The following is a 15,327-nucleotide window of genomic DNA, read 5'->3' as shown; positions in this document are numbered from 1 at the left end:
AATGCCTTGTCTCTCCTCCTGCCCCAGGGTCTTTGTATATTATATCACCCTTTCCAGGAATATTCTTCACGCTGCTCTTAGTCTAGTTAACTCATACTGGTGTTTCAGATCTCAGTTCAGAATTCAATGCTTTTCCTTACCACCCAAGCTAGGCCAGATTTATCTATGTGATCTCATAGAAATCATTCCTTTTCTTATAAGAACCTTTCTTAATTTGTAATAATACGATCATTAGTGTAAACATTTGTCTCTCATTAGACTGTACACTTCAAAAAATGGTAAACTATGTCAACTTTTGCTTATTCTAACTTCTCAAGATCAAGAACAGTGATGGCTAAATACTAGGATCTCACTAAATATTTACTGAATAAATGAATGCATGAATTTTAGACATCATTAAGTAAAGAATAAATGGAAATTTGTTTCCATGTGTTCACAGTACTCAAAAATTTTAATTTGTTATTTAATATCTGGTAGACCAATTTTAGTATTTGTAATGGTATATATATATATATATATACATGTATATATATATATATATACTGTTAAAGTATGAGACTATGAGGTGGGAAGAATCATCTTTGTAATTGGTACACACACACCTATATATATATATAGATAGATATACACACACACACATATAAACACACCAATTGGCATATATATATATATATACACACACACACATACAATATATACATATACATATATATATATACCAATTGGTATATACACACACACTGCAATTGGTGTATGTGTGTGTGTGTGTGGGTATATATATATATACCAATTACAAATATTATGATTCTTCCCACTTTATAGTCTCACACTTTCAACTAACAACCTGGAAAGTAAGACAATATAATTCATTAATTTCTATAACATTTCATAATATAATATGAAAATTCACTGCTGATTTTTAGAGGACAAAATCTATAGCATGGTGAACTTTCACAGCTCCAGCTTTATCTAGTTAGAGTTATTTAACCCACAGGTTGACATTCTCCCCTCCTCAGGGTCTCTCTTTCCCCAGAAGGTATTGCCTCTTTTCTTGCTTTCCTGGCCTCCCTCTTCAGTGTTTCATGTTTGTCCTTTTGTGTTAACCTTTGGAATTATCAAACAAGTTGTTGCCAGAATCTGGGGACTCATGGCCGATGTGTTCCCGGCTAATAAAGCAAAACCAAGAGAAAATAATCCTCAGCATTGCATTTCAGAACTATGTGGGCTTCCTTTGTATTCCACAAATTCAGTGTTGCTGATTCTTATCAGATGCTTAATTTCCTCATATCCCAGTAAGATGATTTATTTGGTGCCCTGGGGAAAAAATTAAACCCCTTTTATCTGTTTTGTATTTTCAACATTGTAATTATTAATAAATATTTACTAAATAGCAGCATGATGTAGGTGAAATATCAAATTGGTAGAAATAAATGCTTCTTAATCTATTATGTCCTCTAAGACACAAAATCATCATCTATGACATGGAGATGGTGCTGTTTTTCTTCTTAAAGCATCTTTCACAGCATTATTGTATCAAATTTAGTATACAAGAATAGTCTTTGAAAATCAAAAAGCTCAATCAGAAATTATTATTATTTGAAGAATATGGTCTTTTAGGAGAATTGTAGAACCTGCTTATATTTCCTCCATTTTTCTATGAAAGCTTTCATTTTAAAGGTTGGCTAAACAGGTATTTTTGATCCTTTTGTTTCATTTCTATTTATATAAATAAGTGGTTTTGATGGGGTACATTCTTATTAGGAAAAGTTTACAACACATATGCTTAATATTAAAATGTTTGATATAAAGGTCTAATTTAAAATGTGGTTGAAAGAGAAAAAAGTAGAAAAATCTTGTATATGCATGTACACATAGGCCTAAGGAGAGAAGCGTATGGAATTGCAAGAATATTATTAAAATACAATTCAAATAGTTAAGGGTAGGAAAAATGTGATGAAAACAACTGGATTTTTATTCATAGACTCCAGCAGAGTAAAAATCACAAATTTGGTTTTTTTCCAAAATATGTCATTTTGTATTCAATTATTCAAGACAGAATGGGCAGAGAAGTACAAGGAAATGAAAGAAAATATTGATAAAGGAAGATAAAGTAACCAGACTAGATTTTGGTAGGATATAGCAAGACACAAAATTGATATCTCCTAACTACATAAACTAAAATACTTCATTTTTTTGCACAGCAAATTCTATTCTTGTTCTGGCTAACAAAAATTCTGTTGGAGTAAATTAAAACTGTGATCATATCACTTTTTCGTTGGACATAAAAGAACTAAATATTTTCCATAACATTTGTTCCACTCAGGAGTATCTTTCTTGCATCTTCCTTCACCTCCACTCCCATGATAATCGCCACCATTAAAACCGTTATTACTAAGAACACAGGTATTTGTTGTCTTTTTCCAGATTCTTGGGGTCTCTTAATTACAAAGTAATTTCTTAAATTATGCCTCCCTTTATCTTTCCTCTATTTTTGGTATTAGTAATATCTAACAAATCTAGATCAAGTAGGCCGTCCACACCAGGTCATATCCTACTCCCAACCCAATGCTTATAAAACATAAGGCTAAAATAATGAAATAAGATTAAAAAATAGAATAGTTGCTAAGACTGATAACTTTTAGAAATAATTTATCTAAACAAATTGAATAATCTTAAAAAATCTTGTGGTTGCCATTGCTGTTGTTAAGCCACATTTCCCTCTTTGATTTCCTTTTAGAACTGTATTGTTTTGAGAACTGGTATAATTAGTGATTTAGAGCGAAGGCTGTAGACTCAGGTTGGCATTAGAACCTGCTTCGCCACTTACTAACTGTACAAACTCTCATCAAGATATTCACCTGCAGCACTGTATTCTGTTAAAAGGAATGCAATGAGGTAATGTATGCAAAGCCTTTAGCATACTGGTTGCCTCATACCGATAAGTAAATAAATATTAACCATCACCAATTCTCACCTTAGCTCTCCTTTAATTGGATGTACATTCATATCCAAACCCATGTATAATAGAGCAGTGGCCATCAGACTGCATGTGGTGAAGGACAGTACTTTTATTAATTGCCAGTTTTTGTAGAAAGATAATATCATAAAATACAATAAAATTCAATTAATAGGAAACGTAAAAATATACAAAATAAAAGCCCAGAGATTTTATTGTTATATTCAACAAATATAAAAAACATTCTGTTAAATTTCTATAGAAGTTTATAAATGTTTTCACATAATTTCTGTACTTGCTTTATTGCAGAGGGGAAATAAAATCTATAGACAGGCACAAGTTCCTTGATCATACTTCTATGAAGAATGTATATTTTATTATTTCTCTTTTGAATAAGATAACCCTATTTCTAAAATATTCAAATGTTCATTGATATAGTTATGTATATATACACTTATGTATACACACATAACAATACACATACATATATATATTTGGCTTAATGTGATATTTGTGTTACAATGAAAGTATAAATCACTGAGTCTGAAGTGTCCTTAAAATAGAGGATGAGGCGAAACTGACCATCTGGCTTTGAGCTATCACTAATCTCTACTTTGATGCCTGAGTATTTGTCAAACAAAGAAACGTTTTGCATATTACTGTGTATATTTGTTCTCTGTTGACATTATTTACTCAGATAATCCAGAAATGTTTAAAAAACTGATGGAAGCACTTTCTCTTGATTTTGTTACATATGTACAGTTTGATTTCTTTCACGTAAAGCAGTATCCATTTTACATTTTTCTTTTAGACAATGTTCTATACAGTTAGTATATTACCCTACACATGCCCAAGAAATGTACCTTTGAGAAGCTGATGTATGACCAAACATGTTTGATCTTAGAGCTCAATTTTTACTCATGCCACCACCCACTATGACACCCTCATCCCATTCTACCCCTTCCTGGGGAGTTAATAACAACAATGAGCTTTTTTTTTTTTTTTCCTATGGGGATAATTGGCAATCCAGGGAAGCCAACCCAATTTCTATTTTGTTCAATGTTTCTTTAATTGATCAGTGAGGGGGAAAAGGTGGATACAGGTTGCGTGAAGAGGAGGAAAGATTCATTTTGAGTACCTATAAATTTTTTGGTACTTTCTTAAAAACTCTTTTTAAAATATGCTTCTTTTTCTTTACCTTTTTGCTCCTTATATTTGTTGCTTCTAAGAGACGTGTCACCTCTGCTAGGGTGATAGGCTATATAATTCCTTACTGCTTTCATCTATATATTTTTTTATCTGTAGGTATAGAGGTAGATAAAAATCAGCAGCATAAAATACATATTTTCTATGTCTAGTTGAATGAGTGATTCAGTGAAATTGATAATTATATGTATCAGTTATCAACTGTATAATGAACAACCACAAAACCTGGCATAAAACAATAAGCGTATGCATATTGCTTGTGAAACTAAGACCAAGTGGGCCTTGGCTAGGTGGCTCTGTAGATCTCGGCAGGACTTGATCACCTCTAGGAATAGGTTAGTTTTGATTGAATCAACCTGGCTCTGCTCCCCACTCTCTCTCTCCTCCAGCGAGAGTAGCCCAGGCATGAGGGAGGGCAATCCCAGCTGCACAAGCACTTGTTAAGCCTCTACTTTCTTTATCTTTGTTCAAAGTAAGAGAATGCTGCAAATTACATGGCAAAGGTCGTTGGTTGGGAGGAGGAGGATGAAGAATTAGAATCATTTTTGCAATTGATCACATATCTTAAAAAGTAAATTCTTTCAATTGAACAATATGATAAATTAGTAGGAATAGTTAAATAATTATATTTATCTTGATGAAAGTAACGTACTCGGGCAAGTTACTTCAACCTTCTGTGCCTCGGTTTCTTCAGTTCTAAAATGGGGATAATAATAGTGTCATCCCATACGATTATGGTGAGGGTTAAATTAGTGTATTATGTAGTGTGTAGAGCAGTGCTCAACATAGAAATATGCATAAGGTGTTAATTATAGTTATTAACATCATTATTATTGTTAATATTGAGGCAACACAGTTGAAAACTGACAAATGTGTAAAAATGATATATGGTTGTCTTAATACTTTCTTGAGCATATTTATTTTGTGAATTTTTGGCTAATATTTATAGCACTGGTGCCATCTGTTCATCTTACAAGGATTATTATTTTAGGAGTTTATACATGTCTATATTCCAGAGAGAAAGATTTTACATTGTAGAACAAGTTGGGACACATTTTTATTTATAATCTTAAAATATCTTACTTATAGACGTATTGTAAATACCACAGATTTTTGTTTCTATTTTCTTGCTTTTATAAATTTTGTACTAATGTTAAGAAATGGTAGCAAGCTTATGACTAATGTCAATTTAATTGACAGCTCTTAAAATGTGATCATTAATTGATTTGTTCTATGTAGTAATGAGAATATATGCCAATATGTCCCAATTTTAATGTGCATACAGTCACCTGGGACCTCGTTAAAATGCAAATCCTGATTCTGTAGGTCTGAGGTGGGCCTGGGATTCTGCATTTCTAACAAGCTTCCAGGTGATGAAGTTGCTACTGGTCCCTGAATACCACATTTTAAATGTACGTGCACACACACACACATGCACACACACACACAGACATCTCCTTATGTATATTTAAAAATTATGCACACATATAAAATACATATTTTAAAATATATAATACATATTTATATTGAATAAGTGAAAATTCAAATCAAATTATTTGATATTTAGTTATTAAATGTTATAAAACATGTAATAAATATAATGAATCAAAGTAACATATAATATTTAATAAATAAATTATTGTATCTAATGATGTGTTAATCTCTAAATGTTGAGAAATATTTTTACTGCCAAAAAATGCTTTAATTTTCCATTTTGTTTCCCGGGAAACTACTTAAGTAACAGAATTTGGCCCTATAAATATAAGTTGCTGTCGAGACTCCTTTGTTGGTAGAAATATACTTAAATTTCCTGGGTCCTGTAATCAGGATAAAAGTTGTCTCTCTCTCCTCTCTCTCTTTTTTTTTTTTTTTTTTTTTGATGGAGTCTTGTTCTGTCGCCAGGCTGGAGTGCAGTGGCACAATCTCCGCTCACTGCAACCTCTGCCTCCCAGGTTCAAGTGAGTCTCCTGCCTCAGCCTCCCGAGTAGCTGGGACTACAGGCATGTGCCACTACGCCCAGCTAATTTTGGTATTTTTATTAGAGATGGGGTTTCACCATGTTGGCCAGGATGGTCTCCATCTTTTGACCTCATGATCGCCTGCCTTGGCCTCCCAAAGTGCTGGGATTACAGGAGTGACCACCGTGCACTGCCAAAAGTTGTCTCTTAAACTCGTACATAATTATGCTTTTATTTGAGGTACACACACAACCAATTAACTAATTTTTTTTCTCCTGTGGGCATTAGTCACAGCCCAATATTAAAAATTTTTGACTACATACAACTTTATATAAATAAAGTACATTAGTCAACTTAATTTTCTGCTTTTGAGTGTTAACTACAAATATTTTGTTTCAACTTCAGGACTGTAAAATCTTTCTAAAAGTTCACGATATTCTTTTCTTTATAAGTAATCTTAAGAGTACTCTGCCTTTTTGTTTTAAAGAAGTGGTTAGTGTCAGAATAGTAGCATTAAAGGATACAATTGATTTTAAAACTGTAAAAGATGAAAGAGATTGGGATAAATCTCTGCTGACCTCAGATAAACTCTAGTAGATCAAATCTCCAAAATGTAGAAAAGGGAAGAAAAAAAATTGAGAATTCAGATTAAGTGGATCTGAATATGGGAATTCCCATCTAAAGGTATGTGTAATTAAGTTGAAATCTATTAAGAATAATTAAATAACAGCCTTCTTCATGATAACAACATTTGAGTTGCACTTTCAAACTCAATTTCTCGTTGTAAATATAACTACAGATTACAACTTAATTTCTAGTCCATAAATTATTTTTCACCTCTCTTATCTTATTTGATATTTGAAAGAACCCTTTGTTGTTTAATATTATACTCAAAGTAAGAACTTGGACTTGGAGACCTCCTCCTCCTTTAAGTTCAAGCCTCCTCTGAGGAGAGATACTCCTAAGGAGTCCAGGATGAGGGTCATTATTGAGCTGTTACTGGGAGGGGACTGAATTCGTGGATGACTCTGGAAAATAGAGGTTAGTAATATATTAGTAGCTATTATTTATCATGTATTTATTATGTGCTATTTGCTACTTGTGTCTAATATCGTTTCTCTATTTCCTCTTTTTAAGTTATTTTGGAATTGCCTAGTATTCTAAAAAATGTTATGATTGTGTTCAGAATGCCCCTTTTATAGTTTTCCCTTAAATGGTGATGGTGGGCAAACTTGAAGACATTAACAAAAACATAATTTTCATTTAGTCTTAGATAACACCAAGGTGACATAGTAACTAAGTGGAGTTGGTGGGCTAATTCCTAGTGGAAGCCTGGGCTCGTAACAGAACATAAAGGCTTTTCCAAGGATGAAACACTGGTGAAGCTCCTCCTTCAAGTTGTATATGTTTGCATATGTGAAAATATGTGCAATCCAAGTTTAACTTGGGAATGCTTAGCTCCTTAGGAATTTGCTACTGGGTTAATAACTCTTCCCTCAATTACTTAGGTTGGAAAGTCCTCAAATTTTACCTTAGATCAGGATTGGCAAACTTTTGGCAAAGGACCATATAGTAAACATTTTAGGTTTTGTGAGCCATAAAGATCTTTCTCGACCACGCAGCTCTGAAATTTGTAGTGTAAATGCAGACACAGACAATATATAAACAAAGGAAAGTGCCTGTTTTCCAATGAAACCTTATTTACAAAAACAGGTGAAAATTGTGTTTGGCCTGAGAGTCAGTTTGCTGGACCACTGGATTAGATTCTCAAGGTCACTTTCAATTCTGAGGTTATGGTTTTGCCAGATTATCTGAGTTATTCATTCCTGATGAGTTATGGAAGGAGAGCTCCTTCCAACCAGAAGTCTCTCTTTGTACAAGCAAATGGCCCATCACGGTATTTTCCTAAACAAAGGCATTTCCCTCAGAAGAGGAATTCTGCTGCTACTGTTAAGATAATAAGTACACCACAGATGGTGCTTTCATTTCAAAAACAACCACAACATAAAAAAGATATAACATTTCTGTTTAATTATTGCATTTTTCTATCCTATGACTTGATGATTTAGTTTGGCAGTGGTGCAAATTAATATTCAAGCTTCTGCTGGAACTCATCTGTTGTTGATTTTGTTGTGGTGGGGGTGATGGTTCTAAACATAGTCAAGGAGGCAAGGTGAGAAAAAGATACATCAAACTCCTTATCGATCTCGTTTTGGCAGATTCAAAGAGTTTATATTTAAGCCTAAATTTAAATAAGCATTTTCATATTATCACTGCCAGTTTTAGAGAGTGTTTCACTGGCACAATAATTGTATTATCCAACTGTATAGCAACTATCAATTAGACTAGGACTGCCTTGAGAAGCAAAGTAGGGCTCCTCTTTCTTTGGTTCTTGCTGCTGTACATTGGAGGTCTCATACTGAAGGCTCACAGGCTTCCCTGTGGCCCCTTGACCCACTCAAGGTTGAAAAACAAAAACTAAGAAATAGTTGCCAATGTTAAAAGGAGATTATCTGTAGAAACTTACATTTCTTACTTCCTTTGAAAAATCAGATCTTCTAAAGATCTAAGGTTTTTATTTTCACAGGAGAACCATGTGAGGGACGGCTGCTTTTTTAAAAAAATCATTGCTTCTACCACTGTCTTCATCTCCTCACCACAGAGCCTGAGTCAGAGGCCATTTATCCTCATTACGGTGCCATGATCATGCCAGCTTTCCTCACTCCTGTATCTACCTGGTCATTAGAGGCATTTGAGTTTGTGGCCCGTGCTGTGCACATTATCCCTGGAGATCTCATCAATTACAATTATTTCCACCTACTGGACTTTAAGTAGTTCTACCTATTGGACATTTTCAATGCAATCTGTTTTCCTAAAGCATACTGCAGGATTGAAGCACAAAGTATGACTGTGCAATTACTCTCAAGAGCATTTTTGTTTATGTTGGTCAATGTCAGTTTTTTAGGTCCCTTATAAGGAAATACCTTTTAAAAATTCATGCCAAGAAACTTTTCATTTTCAAAAAGGAAAATATTTTCTTTCTTGAATAATTTTTGTAACATTATAGTCTTTCTCTTTTTGTCCTGGCTACCAGAAAGTTCAGAAGTCAGTGTGTCATAATCCTGATATTATTTCTCCCCTTACTTTGTGTGTTCTGGTTCTCTATTTGTAATATTAATACTAACTATTAACGTGAACACACATATACTCATGTGCTACAAACAACTTTCAGGTTCATTTTGTGAGAGATTAGGGTTGAAAACATCAGTACGACATGTTCTTAACTTTTCGAAACCATCCTCCACACTGACAACAGATTTGTATTTATAACATACGAATCAGGCCCTATTATTATTCCCTTGCATATTCAGGAATTCAACATGTCTTCCTCTCACTTATAAGACATCTAATTTGTTTATTAGAGTTTTCAAGACCCTTTATTATGTTTCTCAAACCTATCTTCCCATCTACAACATTCTCCACTTCTGTCCCACAAAGCGTGTATCTCAGTGATGAACTATTTACAGTTCTCCAAATGTACCAGGCCATTTCCCACCTCTTGCCTTTCACAATACCATTTATTCTCCCTATAATCACTCTAGTATTTTATAGGTAAGTCACTCATAACAAATATTATATTGTTCTGTCATTTTTCAGTGAAATGAATGACTATTATTTATCTTGGTATATTTCATGCTGAACCCAATATTTTGTGTAAAATGGTTTTCATTGACTAATTATGTAGCTGACTTTTGGTGAGATTTTCACAGAATTGAAATAACTGATCAGGATATATTTTTTACTACAAATAATGAGAAACTTTTAAAGAATAATTATTGAGTGCTCACTGTATACCAAGTTCTCTTCTAAATGTGTAATACGTATTTATTCACTCAATCATCCCAACTACCTTATTGCCCTATGATTTTTGTCCTCATTTTAGAGATGAGGAAACTGAAGCCCAGAGAGATTGAGTAATTTCCCCAAGAACACACAGCTAGTGGGGTCAGGGTTGAATCCTACTGTCTGCCTCCACAGGTGATGTTTATCTGCTCCATTGCTTCCCATTTACGTGTTGAAAGTATATCACTTATGACATCAAATAGCAACTAACCTCAACTTCCATTGGTTCTATCGGTTCTATAGGAAATGCTGGGATTATTTGAGACTTCAATATTGGAGGAACAGATTAAGTTCTCAAAAAGTTTTGAGAAAATGTATTAGACAATAACATCTTTGAATGTAACATGTGCATTTGTGTGTGCATTAATTATTTAGCCACAAATAAGAAGGCTGAAAATATACCAGTCTCCACTATCACAAGCAACTGAAGGCAATAGTTCTACAGAAAGAATCACCTATCTGTGAAGTCACGGGCACAGCTCACAGAAAGGTGCTGTGGAATTGACTTCTTTGGAGTCCTATGATGTGAACATTTCATCTGAAAAGATATAGTGTCAGAATCCTTAAGGTATCCACCGAGAATAAATTACTTCCTCTACATCAAGCATCTTCTTCTCTTCCATATTCAACACAGTGAATTCATAATGGAGACAATACATCCCTAAGTTGCTGATGGTGTTGCAAGCACCATTCATGTTTTGGACATTATGGCAGTGACGATCAGAAGAGAATCCTGTGGACCTACGTTTCTGGTGTTTGTAGCAACAGGATGAGCATCAGTGAGCCAGGTTCTGGGCAGAGACACCCGAAGCCCAGGAGGCAGAGCCAGATTCCCCTGACTTCCACTAAGTGACCCACTAAGTCAGCTCTCAGCATGTCACTCATAGCTGATTTTGAGATAGGTTTTTAACTGGTAAGCAATATGCTTAGGTGCCCTGCCCTGTCTCAGTAAAAAGACAAGTGAAATGCCAAAGTCTAATCCTTTTGTTTGAGAAAGTATAGTTTCAACCAATATATTTATTAGTCTCTTGGGGAGAAGCCAGATTTATAGCATTCCATTTTGTTTTACTCACAATAAATGCATGAACATGTACTGTTTTATCAATCTTTTTTTTCGGGCGCATGGCCTGGACATTGACTCAGTGGACTCTCATTTATTAGTGAGAAAACTAATTGGAGGATATATGGAGATGCAGAACTCAGTAGAAAGCCAGAACATTTATTTGGATGGGATCTTATTCTAATCTGAGGTAGCATCATCAAGAAGAAATAAAGATCTACATAAGTTGCTCCAGGAGGGGGCTAAACCTGTCATTTGGCTATTGTGATTTCATCAAATTGATCACTGTAACTGTCATCTTTGTCTTGAAAAGCATCTGCCACTAACAAAGGCTGTTCCCCTTGGAAAACTATTAGCTCTCAGTGAATGAAAGTTATTCAGCACACTGAATAAATTGTCTCCTGCATGAGACAGCATTTGATAATTCACACTTTTATGGGGAATATTGAAAGGAAATTTCTACATGACATTAGGTCACATTCCTAATTACAGTTAGCATAAAGTCAAGCCCTTAATGTTTTAGTTTTTAGCCCCTAAGGAATATTTTTCAGAACAGGTATACAACATTTTTAGAAGAAAACCAAAAATTATTATTTTCTGCAATAATAAAATCTATTAAAGAAAAATGAAAACTTTGTGTATATTTTTTAGTCCAGTGGTATTTTCAAAAAGATCAAGGACAGTAAGGATCTATTTTCCATCTATATTTTATATACATATAGAATAGCACAGTGTTGGACCTATTTAAAACTAGCTAGGTGTCTTTCATGGTCTATAACCAGACAGGTTGAACTTCAAATTTATTTTTAATAGAGGGCTATCAAAAATGCATATGTAGATTGTACCCTTATTAATTTTTTATTTATTTGGCATGGGATTATATTCATTATTATTCATCCCAAAGTAAGAAGTATATAAAAATCATCTGTGAATATTTCTGACATTAATAATAATTGTAAAGTAGTAAGCTTTGTGCTGCTCATCAATTAATGCAGACCATGGCATTGAGCATAATAGTATTTAACAAACTGTATGCTTTCCAAAAATGCTGTGTGGTTTTTCAGTTGGAGCAGCTTTTGATGTTTATCTTCAAGAGTTCCAACGGGACTCAAACCTTTGGAGCCCCATTGAATTATTTTCAGCTACTGTCACTATGACCAGCTAACATGACACCTAACCTCATCTGGTTATACAATAGCTCTAGTGGCTGGCAAGTAAGCCAGCTGATTGTCTAAGTTTTAGTTTGAGGTTTCAGTTTGTTCCTTTGTAAGTAAAATGTATCACCCTGTGATTTCAGTGATCCAAGGAGCAACTGGCAACTGTAGAGTATTATATCACTGTTCCTATGGAAACATGTAAAATGGATTATAAAATATCTGAAATGTGTATTTTATTTGGTTCACTTTATTGTGAATATCTGATGCTACTTTAATGCTCCCTTTCTGATTATACTCTGGTTGAATTGTCTTCTGTTTAAGTTAAATCTTTAGTTTGCTCATGTATTGTTTTCTTATGATATACTTTTGCTTCTATATATTTTCAATAATAGTAGGTTCTTCTCAATTTATTGTATATTTTAAAAATGTATAGACAATTACTGTGCGCAGGAAGGGGTATATCCGGTCCTCCATGCCAAAGCACTCTTTCACCATGCTGGGAAACTTTCTAGAGAATGAGTAGAATGTACAGTGAAGATCAAGTTCCTTCCTCTAACTTTTGTTTCATTTTCTCTCCACAGGAACTTTTTACCCCTGAATGCAAGTTTAAAGAATCTGTTTTTGAAAATTATTATGTAATCTACTCATCCATGTTGTACAGACAACAGGAATCTGGTAGAGCCTGGTTTTTGGGATTAAATAAGGAAGGGCAAGCTATGAAAGGGAACAGAGTAAAGAAAACCAAACCAGCAGCTCATTTTCTACCCAAGCCATTGGAAGGTGAGTATTATGCATGCATTATTATTACATAGACTTATTACATATTTTATTTTTCAAATTGATAGGTCTACCATGGCTCTAAGAAACCTTCACAAAGTGCTGGAAATGTCATTTATTTTGATCTAGGTGATGGTTGCACAGGTGCCTACTTAAGTTATTGATTTAGAATTTGTGCCCCTTATACACTTTACTATATTTGTGTATGTATGTGTACCAGGAAAAATTTCTTCTCTGCCACCTCCAAAGGCTCAAATCCTCACTGCTACAACCACTCTAACCCTTAGATAATTTAAATTAATTAAGTTAAAACAATTTTAAATCTGTAATGATACAAATCTGCGATGATAAGTATATTAGAAAAAGATAATAAGTATATTAGAAAAAATAAGTTTTGAGCGTGGAATCAAAAGTATTTTCCATTTTGATATTATCTAGGTGAAAGTAATTACCTACTTGTGGATTATTATAATTACAGAAAAATAAGAGATAATAGCTTGACTCTTAAAGAACTTGCTGATATTACACATCTGCTTTCAAATTGTGTAATTCTTCACTGTATACATTTGTAGCATTACTTCTTTTACTAAAATAATTTATCCACATTCATTTGTGTGCAGGAAGGGGTATATCCAGTCATCCATGCCGGATGAATGGAAATTTCACATTTACTCCAATCAGATACCCAAAGAGCAGGCTACAAAGTTTTTTTAATTAATCAACAACATCTGCACCTCTCTCATTAATGATTCTGCCAAAAGTGTCATTTACTTTTATCTATGTAACATTTGAGAATTACAAAAATATTTGATTTTAGGATATTCACATGTGTTTCTATTCAAGTTCTTTTGTTTACTCTTTTGCAGAAGATCAGATCTACAATAACTCAGTAAATATTTTAAGCTAGCTTGGACAGCTCAATTTTCTTTTTGTGTTTTATTCCTACAGGAAAGGCTTAGCCATCACGAGAAAATGCATATTGTTTTCATAATGCATATTCTCTATATTGAAATAAAATAATTTAAAAATTTGAACAGTCAATTCTTCATCATCTGTGAGTGTATAATTTTCAATTTGCCTAAATTCAGAAAATCGCTCTTGTTGGCTAATACTACTTCTGTAATTTCAATGATGTTGACTTAGTGTCACTCTTAATTATATTTTTCTGTAGAACAATTTATTGAAACCCAAACAGTTAGCTACCAGGGCCTATACAGGAAAAGACAGATTATTCCAGAGTCTGAAATATGAGTGAATTATTCTCAGTATATGGTGGATCATAAGGATGATTAGAGTAGAAAGAAGTTAGAGGATTTCCCTGTTCCTCCCAAAAAAAACACATCCATGATACACTTTCATTGTTTTAAATAAATTTTGATAACATTGGACTCACCTATATTTAAATGCAAATAAAAAATTAAAAAATAAGCCCACAGAAGCTCTAATAAGACCATTGTTTATTTGCCACCGTGCTTTATCTCTTTTCACTCATTTTATGTTTTGTAAATAGTTAAGAATTGACTAGATTTTTAGAACCTTACCCTTTAGCTGCATAAATGTAACAAAACCCAAAAGGGCTGTTATGTCATTTAACCGAGGTAAAATTTGGGAACCAGTTATTTTGCATATCTCATAGAAAATATCTGAGACAACAATGATGTGGTATAGAATGATACTTGGTATTTCACTCATGTATTTGTTATGTGTATATGAGTGTTTTGTGTGTATATATACATATATATATATGAGAAAGAGAGAAATAATACTTTTTATGTTTTCAAAAAATTAGCAGAAGTACTCTAAAAACAGTTAAGGGGGTAGGTACTATAACGACAGAGATTATCACATTGTTTACTTGATAGAGGAAAATTAATTTCAAACTTTCAAAACCCATACCGAATATAAATAATGTTATTGGAAATGTTTGACAAATTAAGTACCTGGTTAATTATTGGTACTCTAGGGCATTCATATCTTTGTTTTATATATATATATATATATATATATATATATATATTTTATTATTATACTTTAAGTTCTAGGGTACATGTGCACAACGTGCAGGTTTGTGACATATGTATACATGTGCCATGTTGGTGTGCTGCACCCAGTAACTTGTCATTTACATTAGGTATATCTCCTAATGCTATCCCTCCCCCATCCCCCCACCCCACAACAGGCCCGTGTGTGTGATGTTCCCCTTCCTGTGTCCAAGTGTTCTCATTGTTCAGTTCCCACCTATGAGTGAGAACATGTGGTGTTTGGTTTTTTGTCCTTGAGATAGTTTGCTGAGAATGATGGTTTCCAGCT

The 15,327-nt window shown here is 33.6% G+C and overlaps 1 protein-coding gene across 21 annotated transcripts in view; it reads left to right on the top strand.

Moving 5' to 3' along the window:
* Positions 1-15,327, top strand: part of FGF14 (fibroblast growth factor 14) — a 691,640-nt gene that overhangs the window by 662,812 nt on the left and 13,501 nt on the right. For all 21 annotated transcript variants that reach the window (NM_001321947.2, NM_001379342.1, NM_001321948.2 and 18 more), the window contains one exon: positions 12,822-13,020. In NM_001321947.2, coding sequence (NP_001308876.1) covers positions 12,822-13,020 — 199 coding nt within the window. The remainder of the gene's footprint in view (positions 1-12,821; positions 13,021-15,327) is intronic.

This window comes from Homo sapiens, chromosome 13 (genome assembly GCF_000001405.40).
Source record: "Homo sapiens chromosome 13, GRCh38.p14 Primary Assembly".
NCBI lineage: Eukaryota > Metazoa > Chordata > Mammalia > Primates > Hominidae > Homo > Homo sapiens.
Note: the sequence above shows the minus strand (reverse complement) of the source record. Positions and strands in the feature narration are given on the sequence as shown.